General features: G+C 39.2%; 1 annotated feature.

Moving 5' to 3' along the window:
* Positions 5,137-5,638: an enhancer, noted in NCBI's record as "H3K27ac hESC enhancer chr2:49402835-49403336 (GRCh37/hg19 assembly coordinates)". NCBI's record gives its function as "activates a minimal SCP1, AML or CMV promoter by ChIP-STARR-seq in naive H9 embryonic stem cells {active_cell/tissue: H9 hESC(naive)}" and the evidence as "EXISTENCE:reporter gene assay evidence [ECO:0000049][PMID:30033119]".

The raw sequence follows: 22,612 nt of genomic DNA, 5'->3' as shown, positions 1-22,612 counted from the left end.
ATGAACGGACACTCCTCAAAAGAAGCCAGTAAACATACGAAAAAAGCTCATCATCCCTGCTCATTAGAGAGATGCAAATCAAAACTACAGTGAGATACCACCTCACACAAGTCAGAATGGCAATCATTTAAAAAGTCAGGAAACAACAGATGCTGCAGAAGATGTGGAGAAATAAGAATGCTTTTACACTGTGGGTGGGAGTGTATATTAGTTCAACCATTGTGGACGACAGTGTGGCAATTCCTCAAGGATCTAGAACTAGAAATACCATTTGACCCAGCAATCCCATTACTGGGTATATACCCAAAGGATTATAAATCATTCTACTATAAAGACACATGCACACGCATGTTTACTGCAGCACTATTCACAATAGCAAAGACTTGGAACCAACCCAAATGCCCATCCATGAGAGACCTGATAAAAAAAATGTGGCACATATATACCATCAAATACTATGCAGCCATAAAAAAGGATGAGTTCAGGTCCTTTACAGGGACATGGATGAAGCTGGAAACCATCATTCTCAGCACACTAACACAAGAACAGAAAACTAAACACCAAGTGTTCACACTCATAAGTGGGAGTTCAACAATGAGAACACATGCACCCATGGAGGGGAACATCACACACCATGGCTTGTCAGGGGTGGGGGCCTAGGGGAGGGATAGCATTAGGATAAATACCTAATGTAGATGATGGGTTGATGGGTGCAGCAAACCCCCATGGCATGTGTATACCTATGTAACAAACCTACACATTCTTCACATGTACCTCAGAACTTAAACTATAATTAAAAAAATGACAAAAAAAGAACTTCTGCTCATCAAAATATTCCAGGAAGAAAATGAAAATATGAGCCATAAACTATGAGGAATATTAGAACAAATATTCCATTTTAAAATACCTGCAAAAACTCAACAAGTAAAAGGCCAAAACCCCACATAAAAATGGTCAAAATATATTAACAACCATTTTCCAGAAGAAGAAAAACAAATGACTAAGGAATATGTGGGAAAAAAATTTACCTGAAATGTTAATCAGAGAACTTCAAAATAAGACAAATGAAATTCAATCTGCAATCACCAATATGACAAAAATTTAAGAATCAGATAATACCAAGTATGAAAGGAATGTGGAGCAATGAGGATTATACACTAGTAATGAGAATTCAAATTAGTACAACCATTTGGAAATAAAATTAACCTCATCTTGTAAGACTGATTTACATTACCCTCAGATTCAGAAGTTCCACTCCTAAGAATATATTATCCATACCCTAAAGCAGCACTGTCCAATAAAAATTTAATACAAGCCACAAAAGAAACTTAAAAATTTCCATAGGCACATTCAAAATAGTAAAAAATGTGAAATTACTCTCAATAATAAATTTAATGTAGTTAATTTTACGCAATACAACCAAAGTATCATTTCAACATGCAATCAATATATGAAAAATATTAATTAGATATTTTACATTTTTTGTACTAAGTCTTTAACGGCTGATGTGTATTTTATATGTAGAGTACATACCAATCCTAACTTGCCACATTTCAAATGCTCAATAGCCACGTATCCAGTGGTTATCCTATTGGACAGCATAACTTAAGGAATCACAGGAAACATGTACAGCAGGTTTATATTTTTGGTGATTCATAACAAAAAAATCCTGTAAACACTCTACATCTACATTGACAGGAGGATAGTTAATCATAGATTACCCATATAATGGAATACTATGCAGCAATAAAATAAAAGAACAGCAGCCGCAGACACTCTTATTTGAATCTTAGAAAGAAATGTTTTCTGAGAAAAGCAAATTTCACGGGAATATATACAGTGTAACATCATTTTCATAAAGCCAAAAAAAGAACAAAACTAAACAATATGTTGTTTATGGATACATACGTATGTGGTAATTCTATGAAGAAAAGCAAGGGAATAAAAACAAACAGTCAAAGATAGTGGTTACCTCTGAGTAAGGCAGGGAAATGAAATCAAGAAAAATTACAGACGTTTCAAGGATTTAAGTAACTATCCTGAAAGGTATTTTCCTAGGTAATATGTTTATTCTTCTGATTTATAGCTCACATGTTGCTTATTTTATCTGTATTAAATGCTTCATAATAAAAGGAGAAAAAAACTGAAGAAGTTGTTCTGGAAAACATCAGATCACTTTGCCTGTGGCACTTCCTTTTTCCCCTTCACACATTTTCAACATTTTTCTATAGCTGTGGAGAAAACACAAAATGGCCAGCCATACTGTGTAAAAGTCACAGTTTAAAAGCATACATTTATCCTGTGTCAAGAACTGGACTAAACACTTTATATCCACTATCTTATTTAATCATCACAAAAGCACCTGGGTATGCCGGGGTCTGACCTGAAGACGCAGGCTGCACGATGGATGAGTAACATACTCAGGCACCGATATTCAGTGAAAGAGCAGGCCAGGGGTGCCGGGCCACTCACAGAAAGAGTTGTGGCAGCCACACATATTGACTAGCTGGCTTCGTGGGCATTTATTCAGCACATATTTAATGACAAAGGCTTTTAATCAACACACCTGTGGGTAATTAACCTGGTTGCCGTCCCCCCAGAGAGAGCAGTCCTACAAATGATCAAAGGCCAGTCTTAGGACCACATGAGTAAACAAGCTCTTTAGATAAACTCCCTTACATTCCTTTGTACCTACTCTAAGCTATTAGCTCAAGGTAAGAAGAGTAGGCTGCCTTCAGTCATAACCCTATCTTAAGGCTTTTGCAAAACCTTCTGGCCTTCCAAGAAGGTTTGTGTCTATTTTATAATTTCACCTACCACCCTGACTGAACTCCTACATGGTTAGGTGCTTGTATGGTCCCCATTTCACACATGAGAAAATCAGCTTAGGAAGATGAAATGATTCCCACATGAAATCAATTGCCCAAAGTCACCTGGTCAACTAAGTGGCCAAGACAGAATTTGAACTCAAATCTGATGACTATTAGCTCCTGAACGTCTAACACTCAAGGTATAAGGTTTCTTTTCAAGTTGCTACTGTCTCTTGGTCTTAGTATTTACCTACAAATGCATTTAGCATATGCTGTGTCCCGTTGCAAACACAAAAGGATCATGCCAGGTTTTTTTTTTTTCTTTTTTAATATCAGAAGGCTGCAATTGGTGAAGCCAGGAGCTAAAATATCATTAATCTGGACTATGGATAATAAATAAAGCAATTTTGTTTTAAGAGAAAGAGTCTCACTGTGTTGCCCAAACTGGACTTGAAGGCCTAGGCTCAAGGGATCCTCCCACTTCAGCATCCCAGGTCGCTGGGACTATAGGTACATACCACTACACCCAGCTTGATCAAGAAAATTATTTAGGCCAGATGTGGTAGCTCACTCCTGTAATCCCAACACTTTGGGAGACCAAGGCAGGAGGATCGCTTGACCCCAGGAGTTCAAGACCAACCTGGACAACCATAGTGAGATCTCCTCTCTACAAAATTTTCTTTAAAAAATTAGCCAGGCATTGTGGTTCATGCCTGTAGTCCCAACTACTGAGGATGCTGAGGTAGATGGATTGCTTGAGGCTGGGAGGTCGAGGCTGCAGTGAGCCATGATCATTCCACTGCACTCTAGCCTGGGTGACAGAGCAAGACCTTGCCTCAAAAAAACACAAAAATTTAAAAAAAGAAAATTATTTTTACCACTAAATACTTTCTCTATGCTAGGTGATGCTGGGTAGGCATCGTGTCTCTAACCTTCACCATGCTGCTGGATAATTATTATCATCTTTTGCAGATGAGAAAACTGGGGCTCAGAAAGACTCCGCTATTGGCCAAAGTCCCTACTTCAGTTGATGGCAGTGGTGGAATGCAAACCTAAGCTGTAGGTGCTTCCTGAATCTTAAGAAATGCTAAAGGGATGCAGGTAGGTGGTCAATACCTTCTGTCAGCAGAATTAGCAGCTGGGCTGATACTATACAAGAGAGATATCCTGTCTTTCCATGTATGGTCAGGAAGGTATTTAAAATGAAGATGATGACATTTACATGGAAACCTGACTACAAGTATAAACCACACCCTTGGCCTGGACATGCCAGAAGCAAGACAAGGATGAATCCTCTACATTCTTGGTGGTACAGGGGGAGGGGGAGTGTTGAAGTAAAAAAGAGAATCAAACCAACAAAAAGATGGCAGGAAGGAAAGTGAGTAATAATTCTAAAGATGTTGTTCAGTTAATGAAAATGAAGGCAGAAGCAAATTATTGGGTGGTTTGGGCAGTTTTACTTTCTTAAAAGTAAGCTTTTTAAAGCTTGATGCTATATACGGTGAATAATTCATGCCTTTTGGGAACACAGAAAGGCTCTGAGATGCTCTAGGAAAAAGAAGAAGAGGAAAAAAATCTGTCCGTAGAGTTTTGCGGTTTGGGAAGAGAGGAGGGGTGTGTACTACCTGTTAATGCAACTCTAACCAGATGCCCACATCAGCAAATCTCACCACTGACCACATGTTAAGGAATCAGGCTGGATTTCGGTGGGAGTTCAACCAGGTTTGCAAGTGGTTTTGAAAAAAAAATAATAATAATCACAGTGAACATTCTATGTGGTCTGCAAGGCTGAAACAGGCTACCCTTTTTCTTCTCTTTCCATCATCCATATAGGATTCTGTCTCCTTTCCATCAAGATCAGCTTTGCCCTTTCATATTCACCCAACCTCAGTCCCCATTCTCTCCCCAGATTCACTAGGCAGTAGCTCTGAGATGTCCTAACCAAATGTGAGAAACTTGTGATAGCAGCAACTGCAGGAGGAGGCTAGGTTTGAAGGAACCCCACGGGGCAATCTGATCAGGACCTCTGTTAGTTCTGTGAAATATATCTTCGAGATACGTTTCAACAAACCCTAGGCATTAAAGGAGGAAAACAACAGGAGAAAGTAATTTACACCATGAATTCCTCCCACCAGCCATCTTATTCCCATAGGAAGCCTCTGCCTTCCCCTTTTGGGCTCTGGGGAAACGCAGAGGGAATGGCAGCCACAACGGTCCCAGGAAACACAATGGATGAGGCTAGGATGTCCCTTGAATGTCCACGACAGACATAATATGAGGAAAACCAAGAGCCAAGACCTGAAAATCCATACAAAGGGATAGATGCAAGGGGTGACTGTGAGAGTACACAGCAGGGAGCTGTGCTAAGGAGGTCAACACAGTTCAGGAGGCATCGGTCTAGGAGACGAGGACTGCAACAACTGCTTTCCTCTCCAGAGGTGACTAATGCTATAGTGCTGTTAGAAGGGGTGGGACCTCCAGGCAATGAGGTGTCCACAGACAGACATCCTCAGTTGCTTCCAGAGATAATGGTAGTTCCTGCAGCTGCTGCAGTCCAATGACCCTTAAAAAACGTTTCCTGTTGAAAGCAATGACTCCTAGCAGCTGCTCCTCCTGCATCTCTTACCTCCTTATCTGGCTGTGCCAACTCTTGGGTCTCTCAGACCAAAGTTTAAAAAATGTTGATGATGATAATGACTCACTTTTATTAAGCACCTACTATATGCCAGAGATCTTTATACTAGGGAGCTATTATTTTATTTATTCCAATGATGTAAGTCATTGTAATTATAATTATGATAATGATTATTGCTTTTATTATATCAATCTTAGCAGATCAGGAAAATGAAACACAATTCAATTAAATAACACATTCAAGTTTACACGGTTTTTAAGTGTGAGAGCTTGGGTTTTGAACCCAGGTCTGATGTTAAACTCTGTGCTCTTAACCCCTGTACCAGTGCCTCCCAAATTTGAATGATACACAGATCCCTTTAAAAGAGAAAAACATTCCTGTGGATCTCCAGTACTGACTAAAACTAGCTATAAACTCCTCCTAAAATCATTAAACCAAAACCAAACATATACATTAAAAACATGTAATAACTAAGCTATAAGACCAATAAAATTCAAATTAAAAACATTAATTCACTGTGATAAAGCATGTTGTTCTGCTGAAACTAGATCTTCAGTATTGGTTTTAATAGGAAAAAGATGAGCCTCAGGTCAGGTTCTATACTGAATAATTTTTGTTGGTATTTTGGCTTCAGTAATTCAGATAATGCCTGTTAGCATAAGTATGTTATTAATTATTTCAAAGCTTTGCTTGCTGGTTCACAACAAATAGACCTCATATTTTTCCAAAACATTGCCAACAAACAATCTTCAAGTGCCAATTTTAATTAAGTGTCATTTGATAACTCTGTAATGCTGTCTTGTTTGCTTGAAAAGAAGGTTATGATTCCAGCATTATTGAAATTTTCATTAAATAAATCCTGATTGCCAGAAGCAGGTCTCATTTCATGTGCCTGGCCATGCTTACAAGGAATGAGCGGTGACAGTTTGGCTTGTTCAAAGATGGGATCTGTAGAGGGTGTCTGCACAATTTTGGAGCGCCTGTGCAGAAGCATATTGTGAATTTGACAGGCATGTCTGTCCTTGTGCCCTCTGATGGCTCAGCTCTCCCATCACGTTTCTTCCTGTGATACTTTCATTAATGCATCACTCCCTGACATCATTTGACTTTCATTTAGTGAAAATAACATTTATAAAAACAAATGTAAATGTCCACATGGAAACTGTGCTCCATTCTTGGAATGAGTGATCTTTAAAATGCCTAAATATGCCTGTCAGGCAATGCATTATAACTGAAATGCAACATAATTTTTAAAACATTCTTTTATGAAACATTTGGACTATTGAAAGTTTTTGTCCATGAGCTCCAGTCTGAGAATCACAGACCATGTATGCTCATTTCCTAGCATCCAGTATGCAGGGAGTGGCATAGCTCTTTCAAGGACTCTCCACTGTTGAAAACCTTGGTCCTGGAGTCACCTCTCAAACACATGCCGAGGCTCCATTCTCAGCACCTTTCCCCTGGAACCTAAACATAGGCCCACACTCCTGTTTCTGTGTAACCCACCCACAGATATAGAACCATCTATTTCCCAGCACCCATATTTCCCCAAGAGAGGTTCACCAGTAAGTAAAGTAATGGCTCTGAGTCCTACATTGAATTGTTTTATTTTACCCTGTGAGAAGACAAACTCATCACCCCCTCTGAATAGATAAGGAAACTGTAGCCCAAATATTTTTGTCCAAAATCATGGGGAGAAGTTACGGATCTCCCAATTTATGCTTTTCTCATTAAAACACTCTGCTTCATCTGAGTAAGATATGTAGAAGCAGGGGATTCTCACATTATACGTATGATTAGAAAGGGAATAGGGTACACAAGAACAGGGAAGAATCAAGAGCCATTTTTCTTCTCTATTAAGATGAAATACTGCCACTTCCTATTTTCAAATGACAACAGCAACAATAACATGCTAATGATGCAGAATTTTAGAGGAATTTCTCTAGCCTTTACCATTTGCTCTATTTGCCATTGTTTGAGAAGCAATTATTAAGAGTAAGCTTTTTTTTAATCACAAGATTCTAAAATCCATTTAATTCAATAAACACTTACACAATGGGGTACCAATCAAGACAAACTTTAAATGTTGTAATTGTACTTTAATGACAAAACTGCTATTTGGGAATCTGAAACTATTGACACCAACTTCCTCAGTTCTGGAGAAATCAACAGGATTACATAGAAATCATGTAAATACCAACGATTGTTCTCAGAGAAAGCTGTGATTCCCCCACAAATGTGACTGCAGGTGGTGTAGGCTGAAGTTTGCATTTATTAGTTGGGTAAATTTGATCCATCCATGGTAAGCCAGGATGTACCCTTAAAGATTTTGATAACTGTTCTAAAAAGCAAGTTTAATAATTAATGCTCCTTATATGGCATTATTTAAATAAGAATACTGTAGACTTGGGAAAATATATTGTTGACTATTGCCACTGACTTTTCTAGAGTTCCCTTGAAACAAATGGAAGTTCATATTGAAGAGGAAATAAAACATTCTCAGGCTCACAGATTAGTGTCTGTGGGTTGCAGAAGCAGCCACTGCTGCGACAATGCACATTATACTTGGGGTGGTGCTTCTATTACTTCATCAGCAATCCATAAATGAATCTGGCCTTAGCTGTACTTTTGAAGAGGAGACTGTGCCCACCAGCAGCCAGGAGAAATGAATTATAAGATAATGTGATAATGTGGCATTGGGGGAAAACAATGCTTTAGAGCTGAGTTGGTGGACAGGATAACAAGTGACTACTAAGATTAGTTTGAAGAACCTCTAAGGCTTCCTTGGGGAGCCCCTCTGGAAGAGAAAACTAGGAGAAAGATGGATTTTCAAAAAAAAGTTATTCATGAAACATTTAGTACCCATTTTAGGAAGAAAATAAGGGGGGCTTTCCAGTTACATTTACCATTTATATGATAAATGTGCCAGACACATGCTTGGAATTAGAGACACAAAGGTAAATAAAACACGGCCCCTTCTCTCAAAGCAGTTAAAATCTACTGGGTGGCCATTTGTGGGTGAATGTTGTGAGTGTGTAGGGGAGGTGCTAGGCAGGTTGGGAGGGTTGCATTTTAACAGCAGGATGTCAAAGTATGAGTAGTCATTTCCAGGTTCATAATCTGTCTGTATAAGAGGAAAGTTTTTGGTGCCTCAAATTGCTCCTTCTCTGGAATAAGCTAGTGGTTAACCTAGAGCAACTGGGTTAACAAACAAGGACATAGCAAAAGCCACTCCTCAGTCACCAGCTCTGCGGGAGGAAGAGATTGCTCCATGGAAACTGTAGCTTATCCCACTCTTTACAAACTAAATAGATAGATTTTTAGAAAGGAAAAAGACCAAATTAACATTTGTTAATTTAACATTTGTTAAAAATGTCAGGAGAACGCAAATCATAAAGTGAATTTCTGTGAACTCAATAATTAACTTCATCTAGGATGTTTATCCTCTGGTGTAAGCCTCTGTGGTCTTATTAATATGGTGAAGTTTCTTCTTCAGGGTCACCTGGGTTGAGGGCAGGTGCCTATGAGTCCTACAGCGGAGAGAGCAATGGAGAATCACCCCATGCATGGCCTCATGAACGATGATGATGGCTCACTCAGAGAATCAAAAAACTATTTCTGACTAAAGAGGTCGAGACAAAGCAAGCTTCAGATTTAGGAAAAGACATCTCTTTTCCCACCTCTCTCCATCATCATTCAATTTACTGACAAGCTATTAAAGGTTTTAAATGGCTGGCCACATATACAAGTCAGAATTGAGTTCTTTTGAGGGCAATAGGTCAGAGGAAAAGGAGGCTTCTAAGACCTCGATCAGCCTCTTTGGACTTGTGATTGAGAAAAGTTAACTGGTTGCCGGAGCTAAGGGTGTTGTGTTCCCTTAACTGCAGAGATTCGCTGTATTTACAATGCAATTTTCTCAAGAGTTTCCATGTCCAGAAGGCTAGTGAAGAATAATAAAACAAATACAACAGGAACTACTTCACCTATGGTCACCAATGATATCTACATGGTTGAAAAAGAATGGGCAGTTCTCTATCCTCCTAATTTCCTTACACTATTGACCACTTCCCTCTGTTAAAGTTCTCCCCTCCCTTTGTTCCCACTCTTTTCTGATTCTCCTTCAAATTCTCTGACCTCTCCTTCTCAGCATTTTGCACAAATTTCATGCTTCAGCCCATCATAGGGTAACATTCCCTCTTTCTCTTCTGTCCCTCTTCCTCTCTGTCAGTGATGTTTGCATTTTGTTTTAATTTGGACTGATGTAACAGGCTTCTTCTTGGCCCCCCTGATTTTAATTTTGATTATCTACCATTCAGCCTCTATATAGCTGCCAGAGAAATTTTCCAAAGTAAACTTCATCGATCTCTTACTTACTTCAAACCACTTCAAGATCCCCCATTGTCCATAAAACACAGACTCCCTGGTCAGGCATAAAATAATTTTATGATCTGCCTCCTGTGTAACCTCTCCAAACTTAACTCTCACAACACCTCTCCACATGTGTCTCGTGATCTGGTCACACAGAATTATTTGCAGCTCCACAAGGTTGGATTACTGTATTAATCCATTTTCATGCTGCTGATAAAGACCTACCCAGGACTGGGCAATTTACAAAAGAAAGAGGTTTAATTGGACTTACAGTTCCACATGGCTGGAGAGGCCTCACAATCATGGTGGAAGGCAAGGAGGAAAAAGTCCCATCTTACATGGATGGTGGCAGGCAAAGAGAGAGCTTGTGCAGGGCAAGTCCCGTTCTTTAAAACCATCAGATCTCATGAGACCCATTCACTATCATAAGAACAGCACAGGAAAGACCCACCCCATAATTCAATCATCTCCCACTGGGTACCTCCCACAAGACGTGGGGATTATGGGAGCTGCAAGATGAGATTTTGGGTGGGAACACAGAGCCAAACCATATCATTCTGCCCCTGGCCCCTCCCAAATCTCATGTCTTCACATTTCAAAACCAATCATGCCTCCCCAACTGTCCCATAAACTCATTAACTCAAAAGTCCACAGTCCAAAGTCTCATCCAAGACAATGCAAGTTCTTTCTGCCTAGGAGCCTATAAAATCAAAAGCAAGTTAGTTACTTCCTAGATACAATGGAGGTACAGCCATTGGGTAAATACAGCCATTCCAAATGGGAGAAATTGGCCAAAACAAAGGGGCTACAGGCCCCATGCAAGTCCCAAATCCAGCAGGGCAGTCAAATCTTAAAGCTCCAAAATGATCTCCTTTGACTCCATGGCTCACATTCAGGTCACACTGATGCAAAACGTAGGTTCCCATAGTTTTGGGCAGCTCCACCTTTGTGGCTTTACAGGGTAAAGCCTCCCTCCCAGCTGCCTTCACAGGCTGGCGTTGAGTGTCTGTGGCTTTTCCAGGCGCACAGTGCAAGCTGTCAATGGATCGGTAGATCCATTGGGGTCTTGAGGACAGTGGCCCTCTTCTCACAGCTCCACTAGGTGGTGCCCCAGTAGGTACTCTGTGTGGAGACTCTGACCCCACATTTCCTCTGAAATCTAAGCAGAAGTCCCAAAACCTCAATTCTTGACTTCTGTGGACTCAAAGGCTTAACACGACGTAGAAGCTGCCAAGGCTTGAGGCTTGCACCCTCTAAAGTCACAGCCTGAGCTCTGTGTTGGTCCCTTTCAGTCATGACTGGAGTGACTGAGATGCAGGGCACCAAGTCCCTAGGCTGCACACATCACAGGGACCCTTGGCCAGCCGTTGAAACTACTTTTTCCACTTAAACCTCTGAGGCTATGATGGGAGGGGCTGCCACAAAGGTCTCTGACTCGCCCTGGAGACATTTTCCCCATTGTCTTGGTGATTAATATTCAGCTGCTTGTTACTTATGCAAATGTTTGCAGCCAGTTTAAATTTCTCCTCAGAAAATGGGATTTTCTTTTCTACTGCATTGTCAGGCTACAAATTTTCCAAACATTTATGTTCTGTTTCCCTTTTAAAACTGAATGCCTTTAACAGCACCCAAGTCACCTCTTGAATGCTTTACTGCTTAGAAATTTCTTCCACCAGATACCCGAAATCATCTCTCTCAAGTTCAAATTTCCACACATCTCTAGGAAAGGGGCAAAATGCTGCCAGTGTCTTTGCTAAAGGCCTCACAATCATAGTGGAAGGCAAGGAGGAGCAAGTGACATTTAACATGGATGGCAGCAGGCAGAGAGAGAGCTTGTACAGGGCAACTCCCATTTTTTAAAACTATCAGATCTCATGAGACCCATTTGCTATCACAAGAACAGCATGGGAAAGACTCACCCCCATAATTCAACCATCTCATACCAGGTCCCTTCCACAACACATGGGAATTACGGGAGCTACACGATGAGATTTGGGTGGGGACACAGAGCCAAATCATATCACATAGCATCTCTCTGGAATGCCCTTACCAGCTTTGCCAGGCCTGCCTCACCTAGTCCCAGAAGCCTTCCCTGATCAGGTTCGTGACACCACCCAATATGGGTGAGATGTCATTCCTTTCTGATCTTCCTTAATGCTCACTACTTGTCTTCATTATAACATTCTCTTGTAAGGGTTTGTATAGGATTCAGACAGAAAATTAGATTTACCATAAGTGTTATGGGAATAAAAAATTGATTGTAGGTGTTAGCCCTTATAAAAATATGGGAGGAGCTGAGGAAAAGAAAATTTGGAAGGGAGAGTTGGATGGTAAAAAAAAATTAGTCACTAGCCAGGTGCCCTGAAGCAAAGGCACGGGTCAACCAGCAGGAGCTTGAAATGAAATTGAAAAAGCCACCAAAGTGAAACCACAAAAAAGGAGAGCTTATGAAGTCTACAAAAATTGTTTTTCCTGGGAAGAGTTGCCTGTGCAGAGATGCAGTTTTGGTGTGTCCCCAGCCAAGAACCTGGTGGTAGGCCTGGGGCCACTGAGTGAAGACAAGTTGGAGGGGAAGAGGAGGAGCCCATCGGGCACCTCTGCATCTGTCTATCACCATGGTCGATGGTGACAACCTTCTGAGAGTAATGAATTCTACTTCATTTCTGTAAGCAAATTGCAAGCAAGTTCTTTCAAAAAACCAGTCAGAGAAGGTTATTGTCCCGGGAAATAAAATTTCCAGCTTTGGCCAAGTTCACCTAACAGAATACAGCACACCTTCACTGTCTGTACTCTAGACTGTGAGATAAGAAGACAGGCAGTACGTTCTATCCATTTTAATTTATTCAGCATCAAGCACAGTGCCTAAGACATAGCAGAGACTCAATAGAGATCTGGACAGTGAATGAAGAGCATTAAAAACGCAGATATGGCCTTTGTGTTTTCAATCATTCCCAAAGCATATGGTGGAAATGGTGCTACGCATTCTTGGGACCAAATCTTCACGTGTCAAGCAAGACCAGACTCCAGTGACTAAATGATTGTAAAAGAATTTCACTGTGAAAATAAATGTAATTACATACATCAACACACTTACTTGAAATTTCAAAAAGTAAGACAATGTTAAAATCAAGTTTGCCTTTTTCCTTTAATGTTATCAACATCTTCAGTTTTACTGTGTTTTGTTTTGGCTTTAAGGTAGTCATTCGTTTTTGGTTTTCTGTTTGTTGCTGCTGTTGTTTTTAGGATGCTGACAGTAATGTGTAATGAAGAACCATATTATGTCAACAGATTTATACTGAGGTTAATTGTTCTTATCAGAAAATCAATATGTTTGAAAGTACATCTGTTTTCTGTTTTAAGTCTACTCCATGAATGCCAAAGTTCATACTCATCTGCCTTTACCTCAGAAATAAAAGCAAGTCTCCAGCAAAAAGAAGGGTAAATTCAGAGTTATTAAGAGTCCTCAGCTGGGTGTGGTGGCTCAAACCTGTAATCCTAGCATTTTGGGAGGCCAAGGTGGGAGAATCATTTGAGGCCAGGAGTTCAAGACCAGCCTGGGCAACACGGGAAGACCTTATCTCTACTAAACATTTGAAAACTAGCTGGGTCTGGTGGCACATGCCTGTAGTCCTAGCTACTTGGGAGGCTGAGGCAGGAGGATCACTTAAGCCTGTGAGTTGGAGGCTGCAGTGAGCAGCACTGTACTTCAGCCCACCAGCCTGGGCAATAGAGTGAGACTTCATCTCAAAAAAAAAAAAAAAAATCTTCACATACAGTTTTATGACTTCATTTCACTTCTACTTATCCTGAAGTTCAAAATTGTAAATTATCTTTCTGATAAAAACCAAGGGAACACTTATGGATAATGGAATATTTTGGGAGAAAAGAGTCACTACAGGTTTTATTTGGTCCGTACAAAGACTTTAGTAGACTATTTTTCTCTGTATATCCTCTACCTGTCTTTCTTGTCAGCTAAAATGTGTAATAATATCATCAGAGTAACTTCTTTATTCAATACTGTGCTTCTAGTTTAATAAACTATTTTTAAAGCTTTGAAATAAATTAGTATTTCCAGATTCACAGTTGACTTTTATCATCAAAAATCTATGTTTATAACTTTTAAAATAATTAACTCTTCCCTTCTGTCAGCTGCTCTGGGGTGGTTTCATCCCCACATTCTGAGAATGAAGGGCCTGGAATGATGCCAAAGGGAAACATGAAGCTGCAGAATAAAAATGGCTCATCTTTTCATCTCTGCACATACCTCTTACTAAAAATATTTTGAGAAATTTGATAGTAAAATAAACATGACTCTATTGTAAAAGAGAATGTAAAATTTGCATACATTTATAATATAAAATAAGAGACACCAAAGAAATGTTGACCTTATTGAGGCTCTCTTTGGAAAACTCCACTCTCATTGGGGTGGTTTGATGAAAATTGTTGACGACCCTCTCATCTCAAAGTAAGCATTATTTTCAGCATTAGTAATGAAAAACACCTTGGTTTTAGATAAATGGAATTTGTTTTCATTCCCAGAGAGATTTAGGACTGGAAGTTACTATCTAAACTGACACTGTCTAGTTATTCCAAGAAGCATTTTTATGTCTTTTTTTTTATTACTAGACATAATACAAGACAACGTGTCATTTGATCAATGATGCTGTCATAAACCAACACCCATTTGTCAACCTGAAAAGAACAAATGACAAGAGGGTCAGGGATTGAAAAGAGAAGCCTTGTGTTAGAAGGCCACTGTCACATTGGAAGATGTTCCTGGATCATGTTGGTTTAAAGTCACCTAGACTGTCCTCTCTCCCTCCCTTCCTCCTCCAATCCTCCCATTCTTCCCTCCTCATGCCTCACCTCCTTTCTTTCTTTTGGAGCCCAGCTTGTCAGTATGTGATTTCTTTCAGATTCTTGCCAGAATTTCTATGTGGGTAAACTTCAGTATTTGCGGTTGCAGTCCAATTTGTAAACTTTAAGCAGAAAAGAGGTAAAAGGCCTTCAAGGATTAGAAGTTATTTAAATCCTGTAAGTTAGAACGGTGCAAATTCACTAACTTTGGCAGTAGGCAAGAGGTTTCCACAAAACAATGTCACCCTGACACAGTAAATCAGGGCTGCCTTGGCTTAGTAAGGGGTGGGTGAAGGTTGAGGACTACGCTGCCCAAATTTGTACCCTAACATCAGGCAGCAGATAACCACTACTGCTGTCAATGGAGTTCACTTCCATTTGGCTGCTCGATGCCCTAAAGATGTTCTTGTCTGAATAATGTGGGTCTCATTTCCATGTTAACTATATCCTTTGATCCCATATTGGTAGAATGATTTTAAGTCCTGGATGCCTTGGATAGTCCTGGCAGTAATTACTAACAGAGTCTCCTTTCACTCTCAAAATTGTTCTGGTTTACAAGGTAAGTTAAATCATTTCTTTAGAAACCTCACTCTCAAAACTAGCATTAAAACTGAGCTATTTCCCATTATGTCAGAGCCACAGAAATAAAAATATAGAACTAAGGCAGGTAATTTAGCTACAATGAGGTGGGAATGATTCAGCAGGACCATCTGGCAGAAACGAAAGAGGGACCATAGTCTTCCTGGGTCACCAAGGCAACCGAGGGAGGGACTCTTCTCCCCAGGAAGGGTGGCTGTGTAGTCCTGCAGAAGTCAGTGTCAGCCTGAGAGTCAACCAGCCTCAGCCTCCTTCTTCCCGGTCCCTCAGTCCATCTCCCTGCTGCCCTGGCTTTCTAGGACAGAGCTGTCCCCAAGGAGTGGGTGCTGGCTTGAAAACCATCACACCTGTGTTTGAAGCCTGGGCTTATCACTTACCAGCTGTGTGAACTAGGGCACATTCACTTCATCTCTCTAAGCCTCACCCTTTCCGTCCATAAAATGAGAATAATCAGAGCTGCGTTGTAGGGTTGGTATGAGGATCAGAGATTATGTAAGATATTTAGCCTGATGTCTAGCACAAAATTAGCACAAAATAAGTAGAAGCTGTTTCATAGCCTAAATCTGAATTCTGAAGAATTTAGGTATGTGACTCTCCATATCTTATAAATGGGCTCCTCTTTTTATACACATTGCTCTCAACTCTCCTGTGAGTCAGTAAATTCCTTGAGGACAAAGTCTCCATTTTATACCTCAGCTGTGCCTGCAACCCTTCAATACATTTCTGATCAATTAATCGGTTGCCTCCCAAGCTCAGTGAACACTCCCAGCCAGAGCCCACCAGCTCTCTTTCCCCTTCCCCAGCAGGAGCCAAGATTTCACACCACCAGGGTTGCCTGAGGTACCCACAGGGAAGGGGAGATTATGAGGAAAGGTTAGAGGCCCCGTGTGGAATAAAAATAAATTATTCTTTGAAAGCAGTGAAATTTCGCTGCTTCTCTCTTTTTTTAACCGTGTTCATAAATAATGGAAACACAGTATTATTTTTCTTCATTCCAAAGTATAAAAATAGAAAATAGGCCTTGGATTTTCAGCTTGCAGTGCTGTGTTGCTGACAACTGACACTCCTGCTTTCATAAACAATGACCCTACCCTGAGATGTTGTTATGTGTTGAATATGTGTATATGCTGCATATATATACATATTTAAAATATTTTGTTTAACTAGGAGTTTGATTGAGAGGTTTAAGTGAGTGCAAGAACCAGATCAGCTAGAAAATTGCCAAATCTATTTATCTTCACTGCCAGCTCAGCTTAAAATCAGTGTTTCCTCAAGCACCACAGCATACATAGTTAGCTACTAAGTATGCTGCTACACTTTAATTTGATTATATGCCTGTGAAATAAAGAATGTTATATGATTCAGTCATGTTATCATGGCTAAATGTTTGAGTTTTCCAAGGGAAGGGGCAGTATCCTAGACTGACACACATCAACTCCTAGGGCCAGACTTCTTTTGCAGCTATTGGGTATAGATTTATATTAATACTGGTCTTACCATAAGTATTCCTGAGAACATTTATCTGCCCTGAGATTTTTAGAAAACTCTCCCTGGTCAAATCTGGAACTACTGCTCCCCATTTTCCCACTGGCTCCTTATGTCAAAACATAAGACATATGATTTCCATATTAGTGTACCCCAATTCCCAAACATGCCCCCCTTCAATTTCTGCTTACTCTGAAATCTAGACATGTGGGGATAAAAACAGTCACCTATAGATCATTTGCTACAACTAAAATGTGATGCAAATTTACTCCATTTTATTTTTAAAAGAGACCAAGACTTCTCTCTACAAAAAATTAAACTAATACGAGAATTTCAGAATCCACTTTGTTCATCTAAAAGCAGCACTAAATTCCCCAACAAGCTTACAATTACATTTTTCCCCCACCTGTGATAAGTTTTCACAGTAACATTTTTGTTGTGTAAATTGGCCCATACACTTCACTTGTTATCCAAAGTGGTCAAGGACAAGTCAAAGAAGGCGAATCTTCACTCTGCCGGCAACAGGTCAGCCCTGACCTCCTCAAGTCCTGAGTGGGAGAATGGGTTCAAAAGGGGAAGTGCAGGTGAGTGAAGGTATGTGTTGCCAATGGCAGAATTGTGGCAGACAGCTCAGGCATGGTCAGTGGCGTGGAGGTCCAAATATCCATATAGTCAGAGTTGTCTGTACACCCCTTCACCATGTAAGCAAACTGAAAAATTGCCATGAAAAAGGCCCACTTTTGCAGTGATGAGCAGTCTACTTCTCCCTTTCATGACAACAGCTGTGAGGAGAATATTATCATACATTCACACCAGTCTCTCTTACAGTATTTCCACATGCTTCTCTCATTTTGTCTTCGTGAGAACCCTGTAAGTGTTCACACCCCCATTTTGGAGAAGAAGAAATACACCTCCAGATAATTGCAATGTCCTGAGATTCTACAATAATGACAAAGCTATGACTGGAGCCCAGATCTCCAACTCCAGCATACTGTTCCTTCCTTTGCTGGTTGTTGACCTCCTCCCAACACTCTGAGTACTCTGTCAAGTGCCTCTCCTCAGCCTCCACTGCCAGTATCCAGTGAGCTTACCCTCCACAGGTCCAGCACTCATCACCAGCAGACAGCCAGGTGCAATTGTGTAGGTCGTGCACTGCTCAGCCCAAGAGGGTTCATTAACATTATGGCTTACATGACTGTCCTGTCTCAGTAAGCTAAAGGTGTGCCATGCCCCAACAGGCCAGGTGTGGCTGGTTGTAGAGCTGGTATGCTAGCCTCCTATATAATATCCTGGTACATTTACATAATCCCATCTAATTCTATCTATATGCTCTATCCTTAATTTGTATTATACGGCATAATATAAAAATTTACATTATGTGGTATAATTTATATGGTATAATATATAAATTATATGATAAAGCAATAAAATATGAAAGCTTAATGTGTAAAAGAGCAAGGTTCTAATATTAATAATAATGCGAATTTAAGGATGCTAACTGGAAATATTTAGTATTCAAAGATGATCATGTTGTACTAAAAATTCACAAGCTACATCTTTATGGTCTCACCATATTACAAGGAATTTTTATTCCTGCCATAAATCTCATAGTATACATTTTAAAGCCTATAATATTATAGTATGCCTACACTACATTCACAGAAACAATCAAAAATAAAGGATAATGTGTTAAATAGAAAAGGAATTTGTTTTTTAAAATAAATATAAACCTACCAAATAAGAATTTCTGAATGGCGAATAAATGTCTTTGGTCCCGTCATAACGACAGATTTTTAAAAAGACCAACCTACATTATTTTCCCTCTTGGGACAGCAACATGCTTAGTCAGTAATTGAACAAATTTCTAAAGGCTAAAGATGAGTCTTCAACATCATTGTTGTCAGTCTCTCTATTGGTTGGCCTAACTTGTACTTTGAAAAACAATAATAAAGAAAGCAAGTATTACCAAGCATGGACAAGGATGTCCTCTAAGTGCTTGGGTACCTGTGGTAAATTGTTGGCAGAAGTGGCTGTCTTTATTTCTACCTTTGTTTGCACACCACTTTGCAATGTGACATTGTGTTTCTCTCCTCAAGAGGTGGGGTCAACAGAATCTGGTTGACTCCTTGAATCTGGTCTGGACTTTGTGACTTGGTATGACCAATAGACCACAGCAAAATTATGTATGGTATGGCAGTTCTGAGCCTCTTGGAATGCCATCAGATGAATACCACCAAGGCAGTCTGCTGGGGAATGTGAAGCACAGCTAAGTTATCCCGGGTGAAGTCATCTGGCACCAGCCAGATCCCAGCTGACTCAATAGCTAATCCCAGTCAAGTCTAAAACTGCTCAACTGAACCCAGACCAAACTGCTGGCCCCCAGAATCACAAATAAAATGAATACTGGTTGTTTTCAGACATGATGATTTGGTGTTGTTTGTTAAGTATAAAAATCTAACTGTTTCAATACATAAGAAAGAAAACAACATCATCTTACATTCTTTTTTTCTTCGAGATGGAGTCTTGCTCTGTCCCCCAGGCTGGAGTGCAGTGGCGCAATCTCGGCTCACTGCAAGCTCCGCCTCCCAGGTTCACGCCATTCTCCTGCCTCAGCCTCCTGAGTAGCTGGGACTACAGGCGTCCGCCACCATACCCAGCTAATTTTTTTGTATTTTTAGTAGAGACGGGGTTTCACCATGTTAGCCAGGATGGTCTCGATCTCCTGACCTTGTGATCCGCCCACCTCAGCCTCCCAAAGTGCTGGGATTACAGGCGTGACATCATCTTATATTCTTTAGATTAAGTTTCCTTTTGACAGAAAAGTCATCAGTACAAATGTTCCTACCTCAACTCATTCTACACTCCTACTTGTAAGATTTTATTTTTTATATAGCAACTTTCACCACTGTTAGGATGGCTTTCTTTCCAGCCAAATAGATACACAGGTGTTTTCCAATTGACCCCAGAGACCTTACCTTCACATGACTACCCTAAAAAGGAAAAAAAAAATTGACCCGGAAATTAATTTCACAGATTTGTTTATAAACCAGTTCAATTATCTAACCGGTGACAAATCTTCTCTGATTAAGAATTATATACAGTTCCATGAAACCATGAAAGTCCAAGAAATAAAATCTGCCTGAAAGATCTATTTAGTCCTCTAGCCTTGTGGTGTAAAAATGTGCTACTGCCTCATTGTTGAGATTTGAGATCTTTGAGATTTAGGAAACTTTAAGTTATAAAATCATGAAGTTAAAATGGACCTTGACTTTCCAATACAATTCCTAACAGATAGATTCCTAAGATGTGAATCATAATCATAACCATCATAATCATCACTACCTAATGTTTGCATAGTTCTTAATCCCTATGGAAGTCTGAGCAACCTGAAGGCAGTGCCAAATGCAAAGGGTCCTCTGAAATAAGGAATAACTAGAAAATAACCTCAAAAGAAAGTTCTTCATAAAGTAGAATAACCGTGAGGACACGCAAGGAGTGCTAGTGATAAGTTTAAAAGAATAAAGGTGGTCAGGTGGGAGATTTACAGAGGTAGAAAAAGGTTCTGTATTCCACATAATTTTTAAGGGATGAACACTTAGTAATAAGGCATTTAATTCCAGTTTATCACCACTAATCTCCTGCTAAGATGTTAAAGCCTCGTTTTCTATACATGATTCCCTTTTATATCAGAGGAGTTATTTTTTCCCCCTTTTGCATCTAATACTGCAGCCAAACGTTGTTGCCACAACTGCTATGCCCAATTCTCTAATTCTAGTATGAGTAGCCTTTCTCCTCACTCTGGAAGAAGAATGCAACTCCAGATAGCTGCTTCAGAGAGCAGGCCGTATATATTCACGCCCTAAAACACTTTCTGTCTGGCCAGACTCTCATAAAGCTCATATAACTTAAGATAGAGTTAAACAACCCAGAACAACACTGTAAGTTCTAGTCCCTGAGGTAAAGCAACTGAGGTTGGAGGTTATTCTAGAATGAAAATCCAGACAAAATGCAGCACATTTAAAACTATGTCAGATAAGGAATGGCTGAAGGAATTGGAGATTGCCTCAACAAGTAAAAAAGATGATTCAAAAAGTACAAAATAGCTGGTGATGTGCTGGAACCAGCTCCTACCAGCTCACAAGAACAGATTGCTAAATGGGAATTTTGCAGGCTGGTTGGCATCACATGGGTAGCTTGATATAAGCTGCAGAGGGAGAGGTTACACCATGGAAATTAACGAATGCTACAAATGAGTTTTTTTTTTTTTTTCTGGAGAGCTGGTTGTTGAGCATTTACTAGCATATCTGTGAAGTTAGCTGTCTTCAATTACTTGGGTCCTTTTTTTGGAATGAGATTATACTTGGTTATACACAATGCTTCTCAAGGCTTTGCAATACAGTATCTGCAAAGGCAAAGGAAAATAAACCCCTAGGAGCTCCAGTGACATGGTGCAGAGTGGCAAGGAATCTAAGCAAATATTGAAGGTATAAAATAATGAGGGTATATAATACTGTAAAACTAAGATCCTAGACAACAATGAATGCATGTTACCTAACCAGCAAATAACCTTAACAATGTAAAGTTTATGTATTTGTTAGAAGGGGAGTTAGAATACTGATAAAATTAAACTGCATTAAGTAAAAGGTATAAGTATACAGTAAAAGCATAATGTCAAAGATAAAAATTTGAGATTAACCATAAACATTTATAAAGAAAGTATAAAACTTGCAAAAGAGTAAATGAAACAAAATAAAACAAGAAAACAAAAAGCAATTTAAAAAAACAGCACACAAAAACTCAACAAATAAAACAAAAAGCATAAAAGGAAAAAAAAGCATGTAAAACTAGAACAAATAGAAAGCATGTTGCATAGTAGAAAAACAAGCATTTATATAGATCAATATTATATAGAGCAATAAAATGTAAATGACTAAGCTCACCTGTTAAAAGAATGAGATTGTAGAAATGGATTAAAACACAAAATTCAGTTAGGTGATTATGAAAGACATGCCTAGAACATAAAGACACAGAAAGGTTGAAAGTACAAAGGTAGAAAAAGCTGGTATATCTATATTAGTATCACATAAAATAGACTTCAAGATAAAAGGCAGTATTATGAGTAAAGTAAGATGTGACAAAAGATAGAAGGTTTAATTCACCAGGTATACCATTCTAAATGTTCATGGCCCAAAGAAAATAGCCTTGAAATATATAAAGAAAAACTAAAACTGACAGAACTGTAGAGACTTGGATCATCCGAATCATGTGAAATTTCAACAGAAATACTTCAATTAGTTTAAGTAAAACTTAAAATGTTAGTAAATATATAGATTTTAGGAAAATAAGCTGAATTTATGGGGCAAAAATAGAACCTGGAAACAAGTAAACAGAGAATGTTGATTCTTCTCAAACTCACATTAAGTATTTGTAAAAATTAACTTGTGTCCTAAGCCATAAAACACATCTCAACATGTTTGGGGGAAAAATACAATCAACACAGACAACATTCTCTGACCATTATGCAATTAAGTTGGAGGTCAGTAACAAAAAAAGATAAATTTAAATATTTCTGAAGTTTGTAAGTTTCAAAACCACACCTCTCAATTATCTATGTGCCAAAGAAGAAATTGTAATGGGAAATTGAGAAATATTTAAAAATAAATTGTAATGAAAGATCTACCTATCAATACTTGTAGAAGAGGGCCAAGGCAGAAATCACAGAAAAATTTACAGCTTTAGTATATTATTAGAAAGGAAGAAAGGCTGAAAACTAATAATCTGACATATAAATAAAACGTTTTAGAAAGGAACAACAAAAAAGGAAAAAATAAGCGCAAAAATCATGGAAACAAAACATAAA

This window comes from Homo sapiens, chromosome 2 (assembly GCF_000001405.40).
Source record: "Homo sapiens chromosome 2, GRCh38.p14 Primary Assembly".
Taxonomy (NCBI): Eukaryota; Metazoa; Chordata; class Mammalia; order Primates; family Hominidae; genus Homo; species Homo sapiens.
The sequence above is the reverse complement of the archived record's forward strand: the minus strand, read 5'-3'. Positions and strand labels throughout refer to the sequence as shown.